The sequence below is a fragment of the Homo sapiens genome, chromosome 7 (genome assembly GCF_000001405.40).
Source record: "Homo sapiens chromosome 7, GRCh38.p14 Primary Assembly".
Classification (NCBI taxonomy): Eukaryota; Metazoa; Chordata; class Mammalia; order Primates; family Hominidae; genus Homo; species Homo sapiens.
In genome coordinates this window covers 44,785,680-44,803,889 of record NC_000007.14, presented here as the reverse complement: position 1 = coordinate 44,803,889, position 18,210 = coordinate 44,785,680, and the positions used below count along the sequence as shown (strand labels likewise).

Sequence of the window (18,210 nt, the reverse complement as noted above, 5' to 3'; positions counted from 1 at the left end):
TTACAGGTATGAGACACCACAGCCGGACCTTTTTTTTTTTTGGGACAGAGTCTCTCATATTCTGTCTCCCAGGCTGGAGTGCAGTGGCACGATCTTGGCTCATTGTGCTTTCTGGTTTCAAGCAGTTCTCCTGCCTCAGCCTCCCAAATAGCTGGGATTACAGAAATGCACCACCATGACCATGTAATTTTTGCATATTTAATAGATGGAGTTTCTCTACGTTGGCCAGGCTGGTCTCAAACTACTGACCTCAGGTAATCTGCCTGCCTTGGCCTCCCGAAGTGCTGGGATTACCGAGGCCCGGCCCAAGTATTGAACTCTAATACCAGATGTCAGGGATCACGCTGGGCACTGGAGAAATTAAAAAAAAAAAAAAAAAAGGAATGGGGCTGGACGCGGTGGCTCACGCCTGAAATCCTAGCACTTTGGGAGCCCAAGGCGGGCGGATTACCTGAGGTCTGTTTGAGACCAGCCTGGCCATGAACATGGTAAACCCCTACTCTACTAAAAATACAAAAAATTAGCTGGGTGTGGTGGCATACACCTGTAATCCCAGCTACTCTGGAAGCTGAGACAGGAGAATCGTTTGAACCTGGGAGGCAGAGGATGCAGTGAGTGGAGATAGTGCCATTGCACTCCAGCCTGGGCAACAAGAGCCAAACTGTCTCAAATAAAAAAGAAAAAAAAAGTTAAATACTTGGATGAATAAAAGCAGTTAATGACAACGTGGTGAGGCTATTCTGTTAATTAATGGAATAAGAAATACTAGGGATAATGAAAAGATGTTTGATGTTTATTTCCACCTTGCACTCAGGTCTGAGCCACAAGTACATTAAGACATTGAATGGTATCACCCAGGGAATACGTAACCAGACAACACACAAGACTGAGATGCACAAGTGGTGGTGGTGGTAATTCACGCAGAAGGAACCAGACAGTAAAACAAAAATTGCCCAACACACCAAATGATCAAATCCGCCACCTCTAGGATAGGCAAACTTGATTGCTGGGTTAAGAACCCTAGAGGTCTGTTAAGGTGGGCAGAGAAGGGGTTTTCTCAGCTTAGATTGTCCTGACATCTAACTGCCAGCAAGCACTGTACATATAATTTCCTGAGAAACCAAGTCCTTAGTGGGAAGGGTATCCCTTTGACCAGATCTTATGGCTTAAATTGGTCAGGTTTGCAAAACCTCAAAGCCTCCATAACCAAAGCTAGGGAGAGGCTCTATATGCTACAAGCAGTACCTCCTCACTGCAGGTAGTCTGCGCCTTAACCCTCTGCAGGGAGACTGACTGTAGCACCAAGTACCTGGCTTTTTAGACTCTACATAGGAATTCCACCATAATTAAGATGTATAAACTTGACCTACAGCCTAAAGCCCAATATGCTTCCCTCAAGAACATCAACAGTGTTCAAGCTTAGCTTTGTTACAGAAAATGAGGTAGGGTGCGGTGGCTCACATCTGTAATCTCAGCAGTTTGGGAGGCCAAGGCAGGCGCATCAGCTGAGGTCAAGAGTTTGAGACCAGCCTGGTCAAAATGATGAAACCCCATCTATACTAAAAATACAAAAATTAGCTGGGCATGGTGGCACACGCCCATTATCCCAGCTACTCAGGAGGCTGAGGCACTAGAATCACTTGAACCCAGGAGGCGGAGGCTGCAGTGAGCTGAGATCACGCCACTGCATTCCAGGGGAAAAAAAAAAAAAAAAAACCGCAACAGATGTCTCAATTTTTGACATTAGTCATCTTGAAGAACACCTCTAAATGCATGAACTCACTGCAGACTGACCCAACCTCTTAATTCTGGCTCCTTGCTTTTCCTGCCTCTGCCTACCTTTGAGACACAAGATCTGTGAACACCCAGGCTGTACAGTGGCATGATAATAGCTCACTCTAGGCTCAAGCAATCCTCCCACGTCAGCCTCCAGATCAGCTAGGACTAGGCATGCACCACCAGGCCAGGCTAATTATTTTTTGTAGAGACAGCGTCTCACTATGTTGCCCAGGCTGATCTTGACTCCTACCCTCAGGTGGTCTTCTGCCTCAGGTAATACATTACAGACAGTGAGCCACCATGCCCAGTTGCTGCCTACATTTTCAATATTCCACTCAACAAACATTGACACTTCCTGGGACTGGAAAGTAAAAAAAATCTAAGTACTGTGTAGAATTAAGCAAACAAGTGATGTTTCAGAAGTAACCCATTACTGCTTAAAATAAAGCCTACATCAACACTCTTAACTCAAACGAGGACAATTGTTATTTAGTTTTTATTTCATAATCATAAACTTAACTCTGCAATCCAGCTAGGCATGGGAGGGAACAAGGAAAACATGGAACCCAAAGGGAACTGCAGCGAGAGCACAAAGATTCTAGGATACTGCGAGCAAATGGGGTGGAGGGGTGCTCTCCTGAGCTACAGAAGGAATGATCTGGTGGTTAAGATAAAACACAAGTCAAACTTATTCGAGTTGTCCACAGTCAGCAATGGTGATCTTCTTGCTGGTCTTGCCATTCCTGGACCCAAAGCGCTCCATGGCCTCCACAATATTCATGCCTTCTTTCACTTTGCCAAACACCACATGCTTGCCATCCAACCTTGAAAAGGAAGAACAATCACTATGACTGGCAACCACAAACAAGCAGCCTCCATGTGTCATGAACCAAGACGAGAAAGGTAGCTTTTTTTTTTTTTTTTAACTGAAGCCTTTTGTACTAAATGTCATTAAACATGATTCTCCAATTACCATTAAAGAGTTACACATATAGGCCGGGTGCGGTGGCTCACGCCTGTAATCCCAGCACTTTGGGAGGCCAAGGCGGGCGGATCACGAGGTCAGGAGATCGAGACCATCCTGGCTAACACGGTGAAACCCTGTCTCTACTAAAAATACAAAAAATTAGCCGGGCATGGTGGCGTGTGCCTATAGTCCCAGCTACTCGGGAGGCTGAGGCAGGAGAATGGCGTGAACCTGGGAGGCGGAGCTTGCAGTGAGCCGAGATCGCGCCACTGCACTCCAGCCTGGGCGACAGAGCGAAACTCCATCTCAAAAAAGAGTTACACATATAGAATGAATTGCGCCCCCCTCCCCCAAAAACAAACAAAACAAAACAAAAACCCCAAAGAAACAAAAAACCCAACCAACCGCATGTTATTAATAGTAACATAAAAGCAGCACTTAATTGGGTGGGCACAGTGGCTCATGCCTGTAATCCCAGCACTTTGGGGGGGTCAAGGCAGGCAGATCACTTGAGCCCAGGAGTTCGAGACCAGCCTGGACAACATGGTAAATCCCGCTCTACTAATAATACACAATTTAGCTGGGAGTGGTGGTGCATGCCTGTAGTTCCAGCTACTTGAGAGGCTGAGGCAGAAGAATTGCTTGAACCCGGGAGGAGGTTGCAGTGAGCTGAGATGGCACCACTGCACTCCAACCTGGGAGATAAGAGCGAGATCCAGTCTGAGAAAAGAAAAAAAAAAAAAAAGCACTTAATTGGTTGGGCGCAGTGGCTCATGCCTGAAATCCCAGCACTTTGGGGGGCCAAGGCAGGTGGTTCACCTTAAGTCACGAGTTCAAGACCAGCTTGGCCAACATGATGAAACCCCGTCTCCACAAAAATACAAAAAATTAGCCAGGCATGCTGGCACACATCTGTATTCTCAGCTACTCAGGAGGCCAAGGCAGGAGAATCGCTTGAACCCAGGAGGCAGAGGTTGCAGTGAGCCCAGATTGTGCCACTGCACTCCAACCTGGCAACAGAGCAAAACTCCATCTCAAAAAAGTAGCACCTAATTCAACCACCCAGCTAAGGGCCAAGTTTCTATCATAGTATCTGACATTCTGTATCACATTGGCTATATTTGTCGTTTATGTATGCTCTTCTTCTAGTATCTTAGGGATGAAAAAGTCTGTGGAAGCAAAGGTTGAAGAAAAGTAGTGTTTGTTCCGTTCCCCCCAGGGCAACTTTTCATTTAGTCAGGTGGTTAGTGTGCCATGTTGTACCCTTACCACTCAGTCTTGGCAGTGCAGATGAAAAACTGGGAACCATTTGTGTTGGGTCCAGCATTTGCCATGGACAAGATGCCAGGACCCGTATGCTTTAGGATGAAGTTCTCATCTTCAAATTTCTCCCCATAGATGGACTTGCCACCAGTGCCATTATGGCGTGTGAAGTCACCACCCTGTCAACATATAGGAAAAATGTCACTTCTGACAACATAACCATGAAGTGTGCCAAATCTGCAAGGTTCAAACTTTAAACCCAAGTTCAAACTGAATAGAAGGGTTAAATAGAACCGAAATGGTAGAGTAACAGTTCAGATATGTGTATCCTGAAATATTCTGGCTCAATCCCAAATGAAGGGAGCAACCCAAATAAAATAAAATTCAGTAAATTTCGTACCTGACACATAAACCCTGGAATAATTCTGTGAAAGCAGGAACCCTTATAACCAAATCCTTTCTCTCCAGTGCTCAGAGCACGAAAATTTTCTGTTTAAAAAAAAATTAAACACATATATACATACATAAAAATATATATATACACACACACACACAAACTGTCACAATTGGAACATCTTTGTTAAACTTAGAAAATGGACCAACCTGCTGTCTTTGGGACCTTGTCTGCAAACAGCTGTAAGAGAAAATTACAGTTAATTAACATCTGCTTATTTTGTTGCTTAGTACCCATGTCTTTAGGGGCTTCTGAGTCATAAATTCATTTTCTCACTAGAATACTTCTTCAGTAATTACTTTAATTCCCAAGAACTGCTCCTGACAGCCATAAGGCCCTGCAGGCAGTTGGGTTAAGAAACATGAAACCCAAAGACATGCCAAAAATCCAATACTAGTCATAACTTAAATAGTGAGACTTCTAGAAAGTGTCTCAAACTTTTAGTACATCACACCTACTTCTGAAAAGATATATGGCTTCTTAAATGTCTATCACCACCCCCCAACTTGAGCTAGAACTTACAAGGCAAAATTCTAAGGAACAGCAAGCACTGCTGCACGATCAGGGGTAAACAGCTGTTCTTTTAGTCACTTGTAATGAAAATGCTACTACCTCCAATCTGTTAACATAGCTTTATGGATTAGATGAGCAGTCACTTCTTGGTATCCAGGCCCCTTACCTAGTAGTGGGGTAAAAAATAAAGATTGGTTTCTAGTATATCTGGTTTTGAACCTTTCTTGAATGTATAATACGTTATGGCTAGAGAGGTAGCTTAAATACCATAAACATTTACAAGCCCTTTCATAAAAACAGCTTGTTTAAAAGTAGCATTTTATAAGCTATTTCACAGATGTGACTGAATTAACTACTAGTATCCGTGTGCACTTCTCTTATAGCAATGTACTTTTTTTTTTTTGAGACAAGAGTCTCACTGTCACCAGGCTGGAGTGCAGTGGCACGATCTCGGCTCACTGCAGCCTCCGCCTCCGGGGTTCAAGCGATTCTCCTGCCTCAGCCTCTAGAGTAGCTGAGATTACAGGCAAGCGCCACCACGCCCAGCTAATTTTTGTATTTTTAATAGAGGTGGGGTTTCACCATGTTGGCCAGGACGGTCTCAATCTCCTGACTTCGTGATCCGCCCGCCTGGCCAACGTACTTATTTTTTAGTTTTTAGGTATTTGTACCTAGAATGTATGGTCTTTCTAAAACATCAGCTTTTCTCAGAGCTTTATAGTCGGTACGTTTAAGTTCCTATGGCTTCCCTTTCAGACTTTCGCTAAAGCCAAAGCCCTCATTGGCAGTTACCCCTCCATTCTCATCAAGACCTGCAAGTCCTTTCTCATTTCCCTGAAGCTCTTTGGGTAACCTGATGCCCAACATTAGGTCAGGCCAAGTTTCCACGAAAGCCCTTGTCACTTACCAGCTTTGACTACACTCATAGGTGGGGTGGGGTGTGGATTAACATGCAGTGTTTCAGTGCCTATGTGCCAGGCACTATGGACAGGGTAGGCAACAAGGAAATCGCTCTGTCCTCACGAAGACTGCATGAGGATCAATCTATTTTCGGAATAAGATCCCAAACTAGCCATTGGTGGCCTTTTGAGATGTGATTTAAAGGAATAAAACCACTAACATCCTATTTCGCTACTCCCTAAGGTCTATCCATGTTAACTGGAACGGAATCGTACTCAATATTTAACTTTGAAGACACGCGCCAAGTTTAGATACTATGCTATAATTACAACTGATCTTTAAGAACTCATTTAACGCTCTCAAAACTAATTAGGTAATCACTGGTAATCCACCTTGGTCGGAAGAGGCCTGCCTTGTGGCCAGTCGCAACTTGCTTGCTAGGCAGAGGGACAATCGGGAGGGGCTCAAGAGCGCCTCCCCCGCCAGCGCCGTCACTGCAGTGGAAGGCGGTCCTTGGGCACCAGCAAAGGCAAGGCCCATTTTCACATTTCCGCTTGGGGGTGGGGGACACGGAGGGACGTTTGGGGCACATGTATAAATATTCCTACTTTATCCAAATGGAAGATATTTCAAGTGGCAACCCGTCACATCCCAGCAAGTCTCCTTTTATAACATGGCCTCCCGGGATCTACAGGACCGAGCATGGACGGGCTCACACCGCGCCTCGATCCTTGAGAAAAACCCTCAAGCAAACAGCTTCCCAGCTCAGGATGTAAAGCACCCATGCCTGCCAGGGGACAGCTTCCCAGGAAGGCGGTCGCAAGCCCCCGCGAGCGTGCTTCTGGCTCCGGTCTGCGGCGCCCAGGCCAAGCTAGGGCGGAGCCCAACGACTCTCAAGGCGCGGACCTGAGCGCGGCCGCCGAGCACGTGCGTCGGACAGGACAGGGCGCGGCCACATGAGGCGGGCGGGCGGACGCGGGCCCCCTCCCCCAACGGCCTCGCAGCCGCCCCGCCTGCCTTTGTCCGCCGCCGTCCCGGCCTCCTCCCCGCGACTCGCGGACCTCCCAAAATGGCCCCTCGTCAGGAAATGGCGCCGCAGCCCGCCCGCGCTCGCCCCTCAAGCAGGGTCGCCCCGCGCCCGGGCCTTTGGGGCGCTACCACCCACCCCGACCCCGGCCCACTTTCTGGGCCCCATTCCCGCACGCCGCCGCCCGCCCGACCTCAAAGGAGACGCGGCCCAAGGGCTCGCCGTCGACGGCAATGTCGAAGAACACGGTGGGGTTGACCATGGCTAATAGTACACGGTTTTCCTCGGCGGTGGCGTCTGCAAAACGGCACGAGCCTGGCCTCCCGCCCCTTTTATACCACGTTCGGCCCCGCCCGCAACCCGGTCTCGCGCCTCCGTCCCGGCCAATCGGGTCTGCGACTTCGCCAGAGTGACAGTGCATCTGGCCTATAGACGGAAGCCGGCGCTGATGGGGACGACACATGAGGCGCGCGTGCGCGCTAACGCGCGGAGGCAGGTTCCCGCCTGCGGGCTCCGTCGCGGTGGCTGCGGCATGGGACTCGGGGCGGGGCGGCAGTACGGGACGCGGGGCACGGGGGAGGGTCAGTGCGGAACGGGGGTGGGCAGCATGGCGCGCGCACGCGGGAGACGGAAGCGCGGCGGCTCTTCGGCCGTTGTCAAGCGATGAGGCGCGTCTCCCCATTGCACAGAGGGGGCAACTGAGGCGAACGCAGGCCTCAAGGTCGCGCCGCCAGTCAAGGTCGACTGGGGTCCCGCGCCCGGACCCTACGCCTCCGCGAGCGGAAATGGGGATGGCGCGTCCCCGAGACCTAGGAGCAGCCTTGCGTCCGCATTCCGCGCGGGCAAACACCACGTCGCGTCCTACCAGGCAATGTCAGGAAGGAGGTTGCCTTTGAGCATCGCTGTTTTCTCTAACGAGGTGGGACAGGAGCAGTCTCCGGTTTTGAGAGATTATGAAATGCTTTCAAAATGCTCTACTTTCCGAAAATATCTTACACTCTGCTTGAATCTTCTTCAGGAGGAAGCCATTAAAACAGGAGCCTGGCCAGGCTCTTACCTGTGAAGATGCATTATGCACATTTTGCCCTCTTACTCTTTTTGAATCTCTGCTCCTGGTCTTTCCCTGCCCCCGCCCCGCCCAGCTCCTACCGCCCCCGCCTCGGGGCTGAATTGTGCTTTGATTTTTGGGTGAAAGATAAGTCACAATTTAAAAGCGAATTTCTTCAGGCAAAGACATTAATAATACTTTAATTAAAATGCACTTGTAGGCCAGGCGCGGTGGCTCATACCTGGCGCTTTAGGAGGCGCGGAGGCCAAGGCCGGGGAGGATCGCTTCATCTTAGGAGTTCGACACCGGCCACCAGCCTGGGCATCTTAGAGAGACGCCGTCTCTACAAAAAAATAAATAAAAATAAAAATTAGCTGGGCGTCGAGGCGCTCGCTACTCAGGAGGCTGGGCGGGGAGGATTGCTTGAGCCCGGAGGTCGAGGCTGTAGTGGGCGGTGATCGCATCACTGCATTCCAGCCGGGACGACAGAGTGTGACCCTCTCTCAAAAAATAGGCCGGGTGCGGTGGATCACGCCTGTAATTCCAGCACTTTGGGAGGCCGAGGCGGGAGGATCACCTGAGGTCAGGAGTTCAAGACCAGCCTGGACAACATGGTGAAACCCCATCTCTACGAAAAATACAAAATTAGCTGGGCATGGTGGTGCGCACCTGTAGTCCCAGCTACCCCCTCGGGAGGCTGAGGCAGGAGAATCGCTGGAACCCAGGAGGTGGAGGTTGCAGCGAGCAGAGATGGCGCCACTGCACTCCAGCCTGAGAGACAGAGACTCCGTCTCAAATAAATAAACAAAAATATAAAATAAAATGCACTTATGTGACTGGTGTTTTGTTAAGAAAACCTTACAAGGGAATTCATATATCCTGGGCTGTCACTTAAGTTGCAATATTAAGGATATTATTTAATGTTTCTTTTTGTTTTTTTGAGACAAGGTCTCACTCTCACCTAGGCTGGAAGTGCAGTGGTGTGTTATCGGCTCACTGCAACCTCCCCTTCCCGTGCTCGAGCAAGCGTCCCACCTTAGCCTCCCAAGTAGCTGGGACTACAGGCATGCACCCACACCCAGCTCATTTTGTGTGTGTGTGTTTTGTAAAGATGGGGTTTCGCCACATCGCCCAGGCTGGTCTCAAACTCCTGGACTCAAGCGATCCACCCGCCTCAGCCTCCCAAAAGTGCTGGGATTATAGGCGTGAGCTGCTGCACCTGGACGTTGTTTAATGTTTCTAAAACTCAGTTTCTTCATCTGCACAACCAGGATAGGGTTGTGGTGAGACAAAAATGATAATTCATCTGATAGATGAAGTACAGTTTCTGGCCTCTTGCCATTGTTAATAACCATGAGCCAACGTGTTAGGAATTTATTTATTTGAGATAGGGTCTCACTCTGTTGGTTAGTCTGGAGTGCAGTGGTGCAATCCTAGCTCACTGTAACCTCGAACTCTTGGACTGAAGCATTCCTCCCTCCTCAACCTCCCAAATGTCTGGGACTAAAGGCACAAGCCACTGTGCCAGCTAATTTAAATTTTTTTAACAGAAACTGGTTCTGGCTGTGTTATCAGGGCTGGTCTCAAACTCCAGGGCTTAAAGGATTCTCCCACCTTGGCCTCCCAAAGTTCTAGCATTACAGGTGAACCGCCATGCTCAGCCTGTGTTGGAAATTTAGACTATGTTGTTTTGTTCTCATCACCATCCCATTATCCCCATTTTACAGATGCGTAAAGTAAAGCTCTGGCTTCTTGTTCAGAGTAATCGCTTATGAGTGTTAGCAAAGCCAAACTGGAAACTGCTTTTTTCCCCCCCACTCCACATCACTTCTTGCTTTGTGATCTTAAGAAAGCCACTTGTCCTCATCTGACACTGAAAAAAAATGCCCAAGGCCTTCAGGCATAAATTCTTACCATTTCTCTCTCCATCCTAAAACGTAGAGCAGTTAGGAACTCCTCCAAAGAAGTAAATGAATGAGGCCGGGTGAGGTGGCTCATGCCTGTAATCCTAGCACTTTGGGAGGCAGAGGCGGGTGGATAATTTGAGGTCAGGAGTTCAAGACCAGCTTGGACAACATAGTGAAACCCTATCTCTACTAAAAATACAAAAATTAACTGGGCAGGGCTGGGCATGGTGGCTCACACTGTAATTGCAGCACTTCGGGAGGCCGAGGTAAGTGGGTCACTTGAGGCCAGGAGTTCAAGACTAGCCTGGCCAACACAGGGAAAACCCATCTCTACTAAAAAGTACAAAAATTAGGGCTGGGCACAGTGGCTCACGCCTGTAATCCCAGCACTTTGGGAGACTGAGGTGAGTGGATCATGAGGTCAGGAGTTCAAGACCAGCCTGACAAATATGGTGAAACCCCGTCTCTACTAAAAATACAAAAGTTAGCCGGGCATGGTGGTGCGCATCTGTAATCCCAGCTACTCAGGAAGCTGAGGCAGGAGAATCACTTAAGCTTGGGAGACGGAGGTTGCAGTGAGCTGAGATCACACCACTGCACTCCAGTCTGGGGGATGGGGTGAGATTCCATCTCAAAAAAAAAAAAGTAAATGAATGCATGAATGAATAATAAATAGGCTGGGCGTGGTGGCTCACGCCTGTAATGCCAGTGCTTTGGGAGGCCAAGGCAGGAGGATCGGTTGAGCCCAGGAGTTCAACACCAGCCTGGGCAACAGAGGGAAACCCTGCTTCTACAAAAAAATATGTATTTTCTTTTATTTTTTATTTTTATTTGTTTGAGACAGAGTTTCGCTCTTGACGGAGTGCAATGGCTTGATCTCGGCTCACTGCAACCTCCGCCTCCTGGGTTCAAGCAATTCTCCTGCCTCAGCCTTACAAGTAGCTGGGATTACAGGCATGCGCCATCACTCCCGGCTAATTTTGTATTTTTAGTAGAGATGGGGTTTCTCGTGTTGGTCAGGCTGGTCTTAAGCTCCCAACCTCAGGTGATCCACCCACTTCGGCCTCCCAAAGTGCTGGGATTACAGGTGTGAGCCACCATGCCCGGCCTATTTTATTTTTATTTATTTATTTATTTATTTATTTATTTATTTTTTGAGACAGAGTGAGTTTTACTCTTGAAGCCCAGGCTGGAGGTCAATGAATGGCGTGATCTTGGCTCACTGCAACCTCCACGTCCTGGCTTCAAGCAATTCTCCTGCCTCAGCCTCCCAAGTAGCTGGGATTACAGGCATGCACCACCATGCCCAGCTAATTTTATATTTTTAGTAGAGATGGGATTCATCATGTTGGTCAGGCTGGTCTCGAACTCCTGACCTCAGGTGATCCGCCTGCCTCAGCCTCCCAAAGTGCTGGGATTACAGGCATGAACCACTGTGCCCGGTCAAAACATTTTTAAAAATAAAAATTAGCCAAGCACGGTGGTGCATACCTATAGTCCCAGCTACTCGGGAGGCTGAGATGGGAGGATCACTTGAGCCCAGGAGGTTGAGGCTGCAGTGAGCCATGATGGTGCCACTACACTCCAGCCTGGGTAACAGAGCAAGACCCTGTCTCAAAAATAAAAATAAAAATAAAAATAAATACATCCGGCTGGGTACAGTGGCTCATACCTGTAATCCCAGAACTTTGGGAGGCCGAGGCAGGTGGATCACTTGAGGTCAGGAGTTCAAGACCAGCCTGGCCAACATGGCGAAACCCCGTCTCTACTAAAAATACAAATATTAGCCTGGTATGGTGGTGGGCTCCTGTAGTCCCAGCTGCTCAGGAGGCTAAGGCAGGGGAATCGCTTGAACCTGGGAGGTGGAGGTTGTAGTGAGCCAAGATCGAGCCACTGCACTCCAGCGTGGGTGACAGACTGAGACTTCGTCTCAAAACAAATAAATGAATACATCCTTGTGACTTGTCCTCCCTCTCGCTACTATTTGAAGTCCTGCCTTTTTGTCACCGTCAGCATTGTCACAGCAAAGTCCTAGTTCTTGTCATTTCATCTACACAGGCATGGGGTATGTACACTCAAGAATACAAATGTTCATGTTTTGTTTGTTAAGTGGGGAGCTGATATTCTGGGGGTTCCTTTTCTGACATTATCTGTTGAGTGGGACTGTCTAACTGTGGAAAATATCAGCAGACACAGAACCTCAGGAATGTGGAGCTGTCCATGCCTTATTTGGATGAATCAGACCAAAAGCAAATCCAGCTGAACTCAACAGTGCCCTGTTCTGGCTAGATGGAGGTGTTCCATGCCAGCAAGCAGAACTCTGAAACTCAACTGTAGCTCCTGATCATATAGCATCTTATAAACAAATGCTTATCTCAAAAATGTGCCTGAGCAAGAGAGAAGGTAACCAGGGAAAAAATTAGGGTATTCAAAATTATGAAAACAGACGACTTTGGGTAGTAACTTGTCTTCTCTGTGCCTCTTGCCCAAGGCCTAGCTTGGTGCCTCTGCTCTCCAGGCTGAATGGAAACCGCTTCTGCTGAGACCATCAGTGACCTCTCAGCCCACAAACCCAGGTGCTTTTTGCAGGTCTGACACTGCCTGCATCAGACAGGTTTCATCACCTCCTTGATTGGAAAGCTTCCTTTCCTTGATGGCTTTGACTTTTCTCTCATGTTTCCTTTACCATTTCCCCTTTAGCTTTTTCACAAATTTCTCCTCTGTCAGAATTAAGCATTTGATCTTGTTTTGTTTCCTTACATACCCTCCAAGATGAACCTCATCCTTTCCCATGACTCAAATTCTCAGATGATTCTAAACCAAGTTCTCAGTCAGGCACAGTGGCTCACACCTGTAATCCCAGCACTTTGGGAGGCCAAGGCAGTCGGATCACCTGAGGTCAGGAGTTCAAGACCAGCCTGGCCAACATGGTGAAACTCCATCTCTACTAAGAATACAAAAATTAGCTGGGTGGTGGTGTGCACCTGTATTCCCAGCTACTCGGGAGGTTGAGGCACGAGAATCTCTTAAACCTGGAAGGTTGAGGTTGCAGTGAGCCAAGATCGAGCCACTGCACTCCAGCCTGGGCAACATAGCAGAACTTTCTCAAAACAAACAAACAAAGAAAAAAAACCAACCAAGTTTTCTAGCAAGCAGTAGAAAACTTCATCAATACTGGCTTAGACAGGAGTTTATTTGTCTCATACAATAAAAAATCCAGAGGCAAAGAGCAACTCAAAGGTGCTCTTAGTAGAATGGACCTACTAAGTGGTGATCAGAAGTCAGAAAAGCAATGTGGAATAACAAATTCAAATAGGTATCACATTATTAGCCCTAAGAGTTATGCAGGCCCTGAAGTATATGAAAGATTCCTAAATGCCTGTCAAGCACAGAAATGGTCAGAGACATTAATCTTTATTTTTTTTCTTTTTGAAACAGGGTCTTACCCTGTTGCCCAGGCTGGAGTGCAGTGTTGATCCTCCCACCTCAGCCTCCTGAGCAGCCAGGACCACAGGCATGTACCACTACACCAGTTAATTTTTTAAAAAGAATTTTATTTGCTATGTTGTCAGGCTGGTCTCAAACTCCCGGGCTCAAGTAATCTTCTTGCCTCGGCTTCCCAAACTGTTGAGATTACAGGTGTGAGTCGCAGCACCTGGCCCAGAAAAGACATTTATATTAATATAAATGAGGATTTCATCAAATATAAAAGCGTTTAGAAGAAGAAGCAAAAGAGACCCGCACATTCCACCCAGGGAGGGCATGGAGAAAGAACAGTGAGTGGAAGGAAAACAGGTCTGTGCTGTCCTCAAGCATAGAGGTCTTTCTATGGCAGGCACCCGGGGCAGCCAAAAGGACACTGTCCACAGCCAGGCCAGAGTCTAGCTGTCACACACATAGGCAGGTGTGTTGCATACCTCAGGCATGCGTTCAGGAGTTGTAATACTTAAGTGAATTTGTTTTTTTACAGCAACAACCTATAGTTCCATTTAAAAAGGGATAGTTATTTAATTTTAATTAAAACATATAGTAGTTTTTTTCTCACTTTGGTTTATGTATCCATTTTCAACAGCTTTGTTGAGGTGTTGTTTACACACCCTCAAATTCACTTGTTTTAAGCATACAATTTAATAATTTTTAGTAAATTCAGAATTGCGCAAACATCACAATCTAGTAATAGAAATTTTCTTTCACTCCAAAAGAAACCTGTGCTCTATTTAGCAACTCCCTGTTCCCGCCCAGTAAGCGCATATGTGGGCAAAAGTTGACTGAGACTTGTGATTTTTAATTGAAATATCACAAAACTTATTGCATTTTTTTTTTTTTTGAGACGGAGTCTCGCTCTGTCGCCCAGGCTGGAGTGCAGTGGCACAATCTCAGCTCACTGCAAGCTCTGCCTCCTGGGTTCACGCCATTCTCCTGCCTCAGCCTCCCGAGTAGCTGGGACCACAGGCGCCCGCCACCACGCCTGGCTAATTTTTTGTTTTTTTTTTTTTTGTTTTTTTGTGTTTTTTTTGAGACAGAGTCTCGCTGTCGCCCAGACTGGAGTGCAGTGGCACGATCTCGGCTCACTGCAGGCTCCGCCCCCGGGGTTCACGCCATTCTCCTGCCTCAGCCTCCCGAGTAGCTGGGACTACAGGCGCCCGCCACCTTGCCTGGCTAATTTTTTGTATTTTTAGTAGAGACGGGGTTTCACTGTGTTAGCCAGGATGGTCTCGATCTCCTGACCTCGTGATCCGCCTGCCTCGGTCTCCCAAAGTGCTGGGATTACAGGCATGAGCCACCACACCCAGCCTATTTATTTATTTTCGAGACAGAGTTTCGCTCTTGTTGCCCAGGCTGGGGTGCAATGGCGCGATCTCAGCTCACAGCAACCTCCGCCTTCCGGGTTCAAGCGATTCTCCTGCCTCAGCCTCCCCAGTAGCTGGGATTACAGGCATGCGCCACCACGCCCAGCTAATTTTGTATTTTTTAGTAGAGACGGGGTTTCTCCAGTTGGTGAGGCTGGTCTCGAACTCCCAACCTCACGTGATCCGCCCACCTCAGCCTCCCAAGGTGCTGGGATTACACATGAGCCACCGTGCCTGGCCTGCATTTTAATATTTAAGATAACTTTAAGTTCAACATATTTAAAAGTTTATTAGAGTTATTTAATAGTCAGGGAGGTTTTCTTTGTTAATTTGGACAATTACATACTTTAATTGGAAATCAAATTTATTACATTGTTAAATGTAGTTTAAGATGTTAGAAGATGCCTGGGCGCAGTGGCTCACACCTGTAATCCTAGCACTTTGGGAGGCCGAGGGAGGTGGATCACCTGAGGTCAGGAGTTCAAGACCAGCTTGACCAACATGGAGAAACCCCATCTCTACTAAAAATACAAAAATTAGCCAGCCATGGTGACGGGCGCCTGTAATCCCAGCTACTGAGAAGGCTGAGGCAGGAGAATCATTTGAACCTGGGAGACAGAGGTTGGAGTGAGCCAAGATCGTGCCACTGCACTCCAGCCTGAGCAAGGAGACGGAGAGAGACTCCGTCTCAAAAAAAAAAAAAAAAAAAAAGTTTGCAAATATGTTCAAAGAGTTCAAATTTGCTATACTTATAAAGAGACTAATATTATTTCTAAGGTAAACTTAAAACCCAGGAAAGAAGTAGGTTTTAAAATTATAGTTTATTTTTTACTAACCTGATGTTTTTAAAATAAAATAATAAAAAACAAAATTGTAGTTTAGGCTGGGCACAGTGGCTCACACCCATAACCTCGCACTTTGGGAAGCCAAGGTGGGAGGACTGCTTGAGCCCAGGAGTTTGAGACCAGTCTGGGCAACATAGTGAGACCCCTCCCATCTCTACAAAAAAAAATTGCTTTAATTAAAATTGTAGCTTTAATGAATTAAATATCAGTTGTTAACATATAATAACCCCTGAATAGTCTTTCTACATAGGAAAGCCACAGGACACAAAACTGCAACAACAGGTGCCTGGGATTGGACAGGAAAACCAGGAAAGAAGGAAGAAGGGCAAAAGTTGAGGGAGGAGCCACCACCATCTGTCCTGTTTCAAAAGTTTCCCAGGAGCCCCACTCGGCAGCTTCCACTCTTGGCTATAAGCATTCAGGAAGATAACTACAGTTGACCTTGAACGACATGGTGTTTCACCATGTTGGCCAGGCTGATCTCAAACTCTTGACCTCAAGTGATCTGCCCTCAGCCTCCCAAAGTGTTGGGATTACAGGTGTGAGCCACCGCACCTGGCCTAAATAGGCTTTTTGAGGAGTCAAAGGTTATATGTGGATTTTTGACTGTAAAGAGTATCAGCATCCCTAACGTCCATGTTGTTCAAAGGTCAACTGTATTTTTCTTTTTAGAGATAGGGTCTTGCTATGTTGCCTAGGCTGGAGTACAGTGGCTATTCACAGACACAATCGTAGTACATTATAGCCTTGAGCTGCTGGGCTCAAGCAATCCTGCCTGAGCCTCCTGAGTAGCTGAGACTACAGGTGCAGCCAGCATGCCCGGCTAAGGGTCAACTGTATTTTGATTGGGCCTGTGGCTGCCCACACCACTCAAGGTCCTGATAGTAAGGAAGAAGGCAAGAGAGAAGCCTGTTGTGTAGACAATGGGTGGATGTCTGATGCACTTATGACCTCACTCAGGAGGGAAGGGAGTGACTGGAGAGTCCTTGGGCACCTGGGGAGCTGGCACAAACAGAGCCCAGCATGGGCCTGAGGAGGACTCTACCAACTCTTCAGTGGACCCAGCCCTGAAGCACCCCTCTGGGGCGATGCTAAAGTTGAAGTTGGGGGCGGGGAGGATGCACCTGCTGGGTTGAGCCCTTAATCTCCGCCTGTGCCTTCAGGCCTCGGTGTCTAAGGTCTTCAGACTTTGCCTTCCACTTGAGCTCAGAAGGTGGGGAATTTCCCTAACAGGAAGGGCCACAATATCAAAAACAAAAAACCCCAGAAATAAGTCTTCAGTTAGTAAACACAGAATCCTAGAAAGTGTTAGTTGCTGTTATTAATGGTCATTGGGTTTTTTTATTTAGTTTTGTTTTGTTTTTTGAGACGGTGTCTCCCTCTTGTTGCCAAGGCTGGAGTGCAATGGCACGATCTCTGCTCACTGCAACCTCTGCCTCCCAGGTTCAAGTGATTCTGCTGCCTCAGCCTTCCGAGTAGCAGGAATTACAGGTGCCCGCCACCATGCCCAGCTAATTTTTTGTACTTCTAATAGAGACAGGGTTTCGCCACGTTGGCCAAGCTGGTCTCAAACTCCTGACCACAGGTGATCCACCCACCTCAGCCTCCCAAAGTGCTGGGATTACAGGTGTGAGCCACTGCACCTGGCCCTAATGGTTGGTCATTGTTAAATTCTCACAGCAGTCCTTTGAATATTTATTTATTTTTTTATTTATATTCTTATTTTTTGAGACGGAATTTCACTGTTGTTGTCCAAGCTGGAATGCAATGGCACGATCTTGGCTCACTGCAACCTCCGCCTCCCGGGTTCAAGCGATTCTCCTTCCTCAGCCTCCTGAGTAGCAGGGATTATAGGCATGCGCCACTATGCCCAACTAATTTTGTATTTTTAGTAGAGACAGGGTTTCTCCACGTTGGCCAGCCTGTTCTCGAACTCCCAACCTCAGGTGATCCGCCTGCCTCGGCCTCCCAAAGTGCTGAGATTACAGGTATGAGCCACCGCACCCGACCTTATTTATTTATTTATTTTTGAGACAGAGTCTCGTTCTGTTGCCCAGGCTGGAGTGCAGTGGTGTGATCTTGGCTCACTGCAACCTCCGCCTCCTGGGTTCAAGCAATTCTCCTGCTTCAGCCTCCCAAGTAGCTGGGATTACAGGCACATGCCACCACACCCAGCTAATTTTTGTATTTTTAGTAAAGACAGGGTTTTACCATGTTGAAAACCGTTGGCCAGGCCAGGTGTGGTGGCTCACGCCTGTAATCCCAGCACTTTGGGAGGCCGAGGCGGGTGGATCACAAGGTCAGGAGATCGAGACCATCCTGGCTAACACGGTGAAACCCTATCTTTACTAAAAATACAAAAAATTAGCCAGGCGTGGTGGCGGGTGCCTGTAGTCCCAGCTACTCGGGAGGCTGAGCAGGAGAATGGCGTGAACCCGGGAGGCAGAGTTTGCAGTGAGCCGAGATAGCGCCACTGCACTCCAGCCTGGGCGACAGAGCGAGACTCCGTCTCAAAAAAAAAAAAAAAACCATTGACCAGGCTGGTCTCGAACTCCTGACGTCAGGTGATCCACCCACTTCAGCCTCCCAAAGTGCTGGGATTACAGGCGTGAGCCACCGCGCTCAGCCTAAATATTTATTTTTACTATTGTTATTCT

The 18,210-nt window shown here is 47.7% G+C and overlaps 1 protein-coding gene and 1 long non-coding RNA gene across 5 annotated transcripts, besides 5 other annotated features; one reads left to right on the top strand and one right to left on the bottom strand.

The window, feature by feature from the left end:
* On the bottom strand, positions 773-7,209 carry PPIA (peptidylprolyl isomerase A). 4 transcript variants are annotated; one of them, NM_001300981.2, is made up of 6 exons: positions 7,097-7,209; positions 4,986-5,142; positions 4,613-4,643; positions 4,410-4,498; positions 4,016-4,188; positions 773-2,603 (listed from the first exon to the last, which is right to left on the bottom strand). In NM_001300981.2, exons 4-6 carry the CDS (start codon positions 4,416-4,418, stop codon positions 2,468-2,470), a joined length of 318 nt encoding a protein of 105 aa, NP_001287910.1. In that variant the 5' UTR covers positions 4,419-4,498; positions 4,613-4,643; positions 4,986-5,142; positions 7,097-7,209; the 3' UTR covers positions 773-2,467. The 4 variants fall into 4 exon arrangements, with proteins under 4 accessions (NP_001287910.1, XP_047276492.1, XP_047276493.1 ...); XM_047420536.1 differs by lacking the exon at positions 7,097-7,209 and adding an exon at positions 6,269-6,771; XM_047420537.1 differs by lacking the exon at positions 7,097-7,209 and adding an exon at positions 6,269-6,771 and having other exon boundaries at positions 5,076-5,142.
* Positions 6,739-7,088: a silencer, noted in NCBI's record as "silent region_18154". NCBI's record gives its function as "represses an Ori minimal core promoter by ATAC-STARR-seq in GM12878 lymphoblastoid cells {active_cell/tissue: GM12878}" and the evidence as "EXISTENCE:reporter gene assay evidence [ECO:0000049][PMID:35858748]".
* Positions 7,109-7,378: a silencer, noted in NCBI's record as "silent region_18153". NCBI's record gives its function as "represses an Ori minimal core promoter by ATAC-STARR-seq in GM12878 lymphoblastoid cells {active_cell/tissue: GM12878}" and the evidence as "EXISTENCE:reporter gene assay evidence [ECO:0000049][PMID:35858748]".
* On the top strand, positions 7,360-8,774 carry LOC105375259 (uncharacterized). Its single transcript, XR_007060300.1, has 2 exons — positions 7,360-7,822; positions 8,466-8,774. It is a non-coding gene; the product is annotated as an uncharacterized LOC105375259 (long non-coding RNA).
* Positions 7,469-7,668: a silencer, noted in NCBI's record as "silent region_18152". NCBI's record gives its function as "represses an Ori minimal core promoter by ATAC-STARR-seq in GM12878 lymphoblastoid cells {active_cell/tissue: GM12878}" and the evidence as "EXISTENCE:reporter gene assay evidence [ECO:0000049][PMID:35858748]".
* Positions 16,072-16,575: an enhancer, noted in NCBI's record as "H3K4me1 hESC enhancer chr7:44826914-44827417 (GRCh37/hg19 assembly coordinates)". NCBI's record gives its function as "activates a minimal SCP1, AML or CMV promoter by ChIP-STARR-seq in naive H9 embryonic stem cells {active_cell/tissue: H9 hESC(naive)}" and the evidence as "EXISTENCE:reporter gene assay evidence [ECO:0000049][PMID:30033119]".
* Positions 16,576-17,080: an enhancer, noted in NCBI's record as "H3K4me1 hESC enhancer chr7:44826409-44826913 (GRCh37/hg19 assembly coordinates)". NCBI's record gives its function as "activates a minimal SCP1, AML or CMV promoter by ChIP-STARR-seq in naive H9 embryonic stem cells {active_cell/tissue: H9 hESC(naive)}" and the evidence as "EXISTENCE:reporter gene assay evidence [ECO:0000049][PMID:30033119]".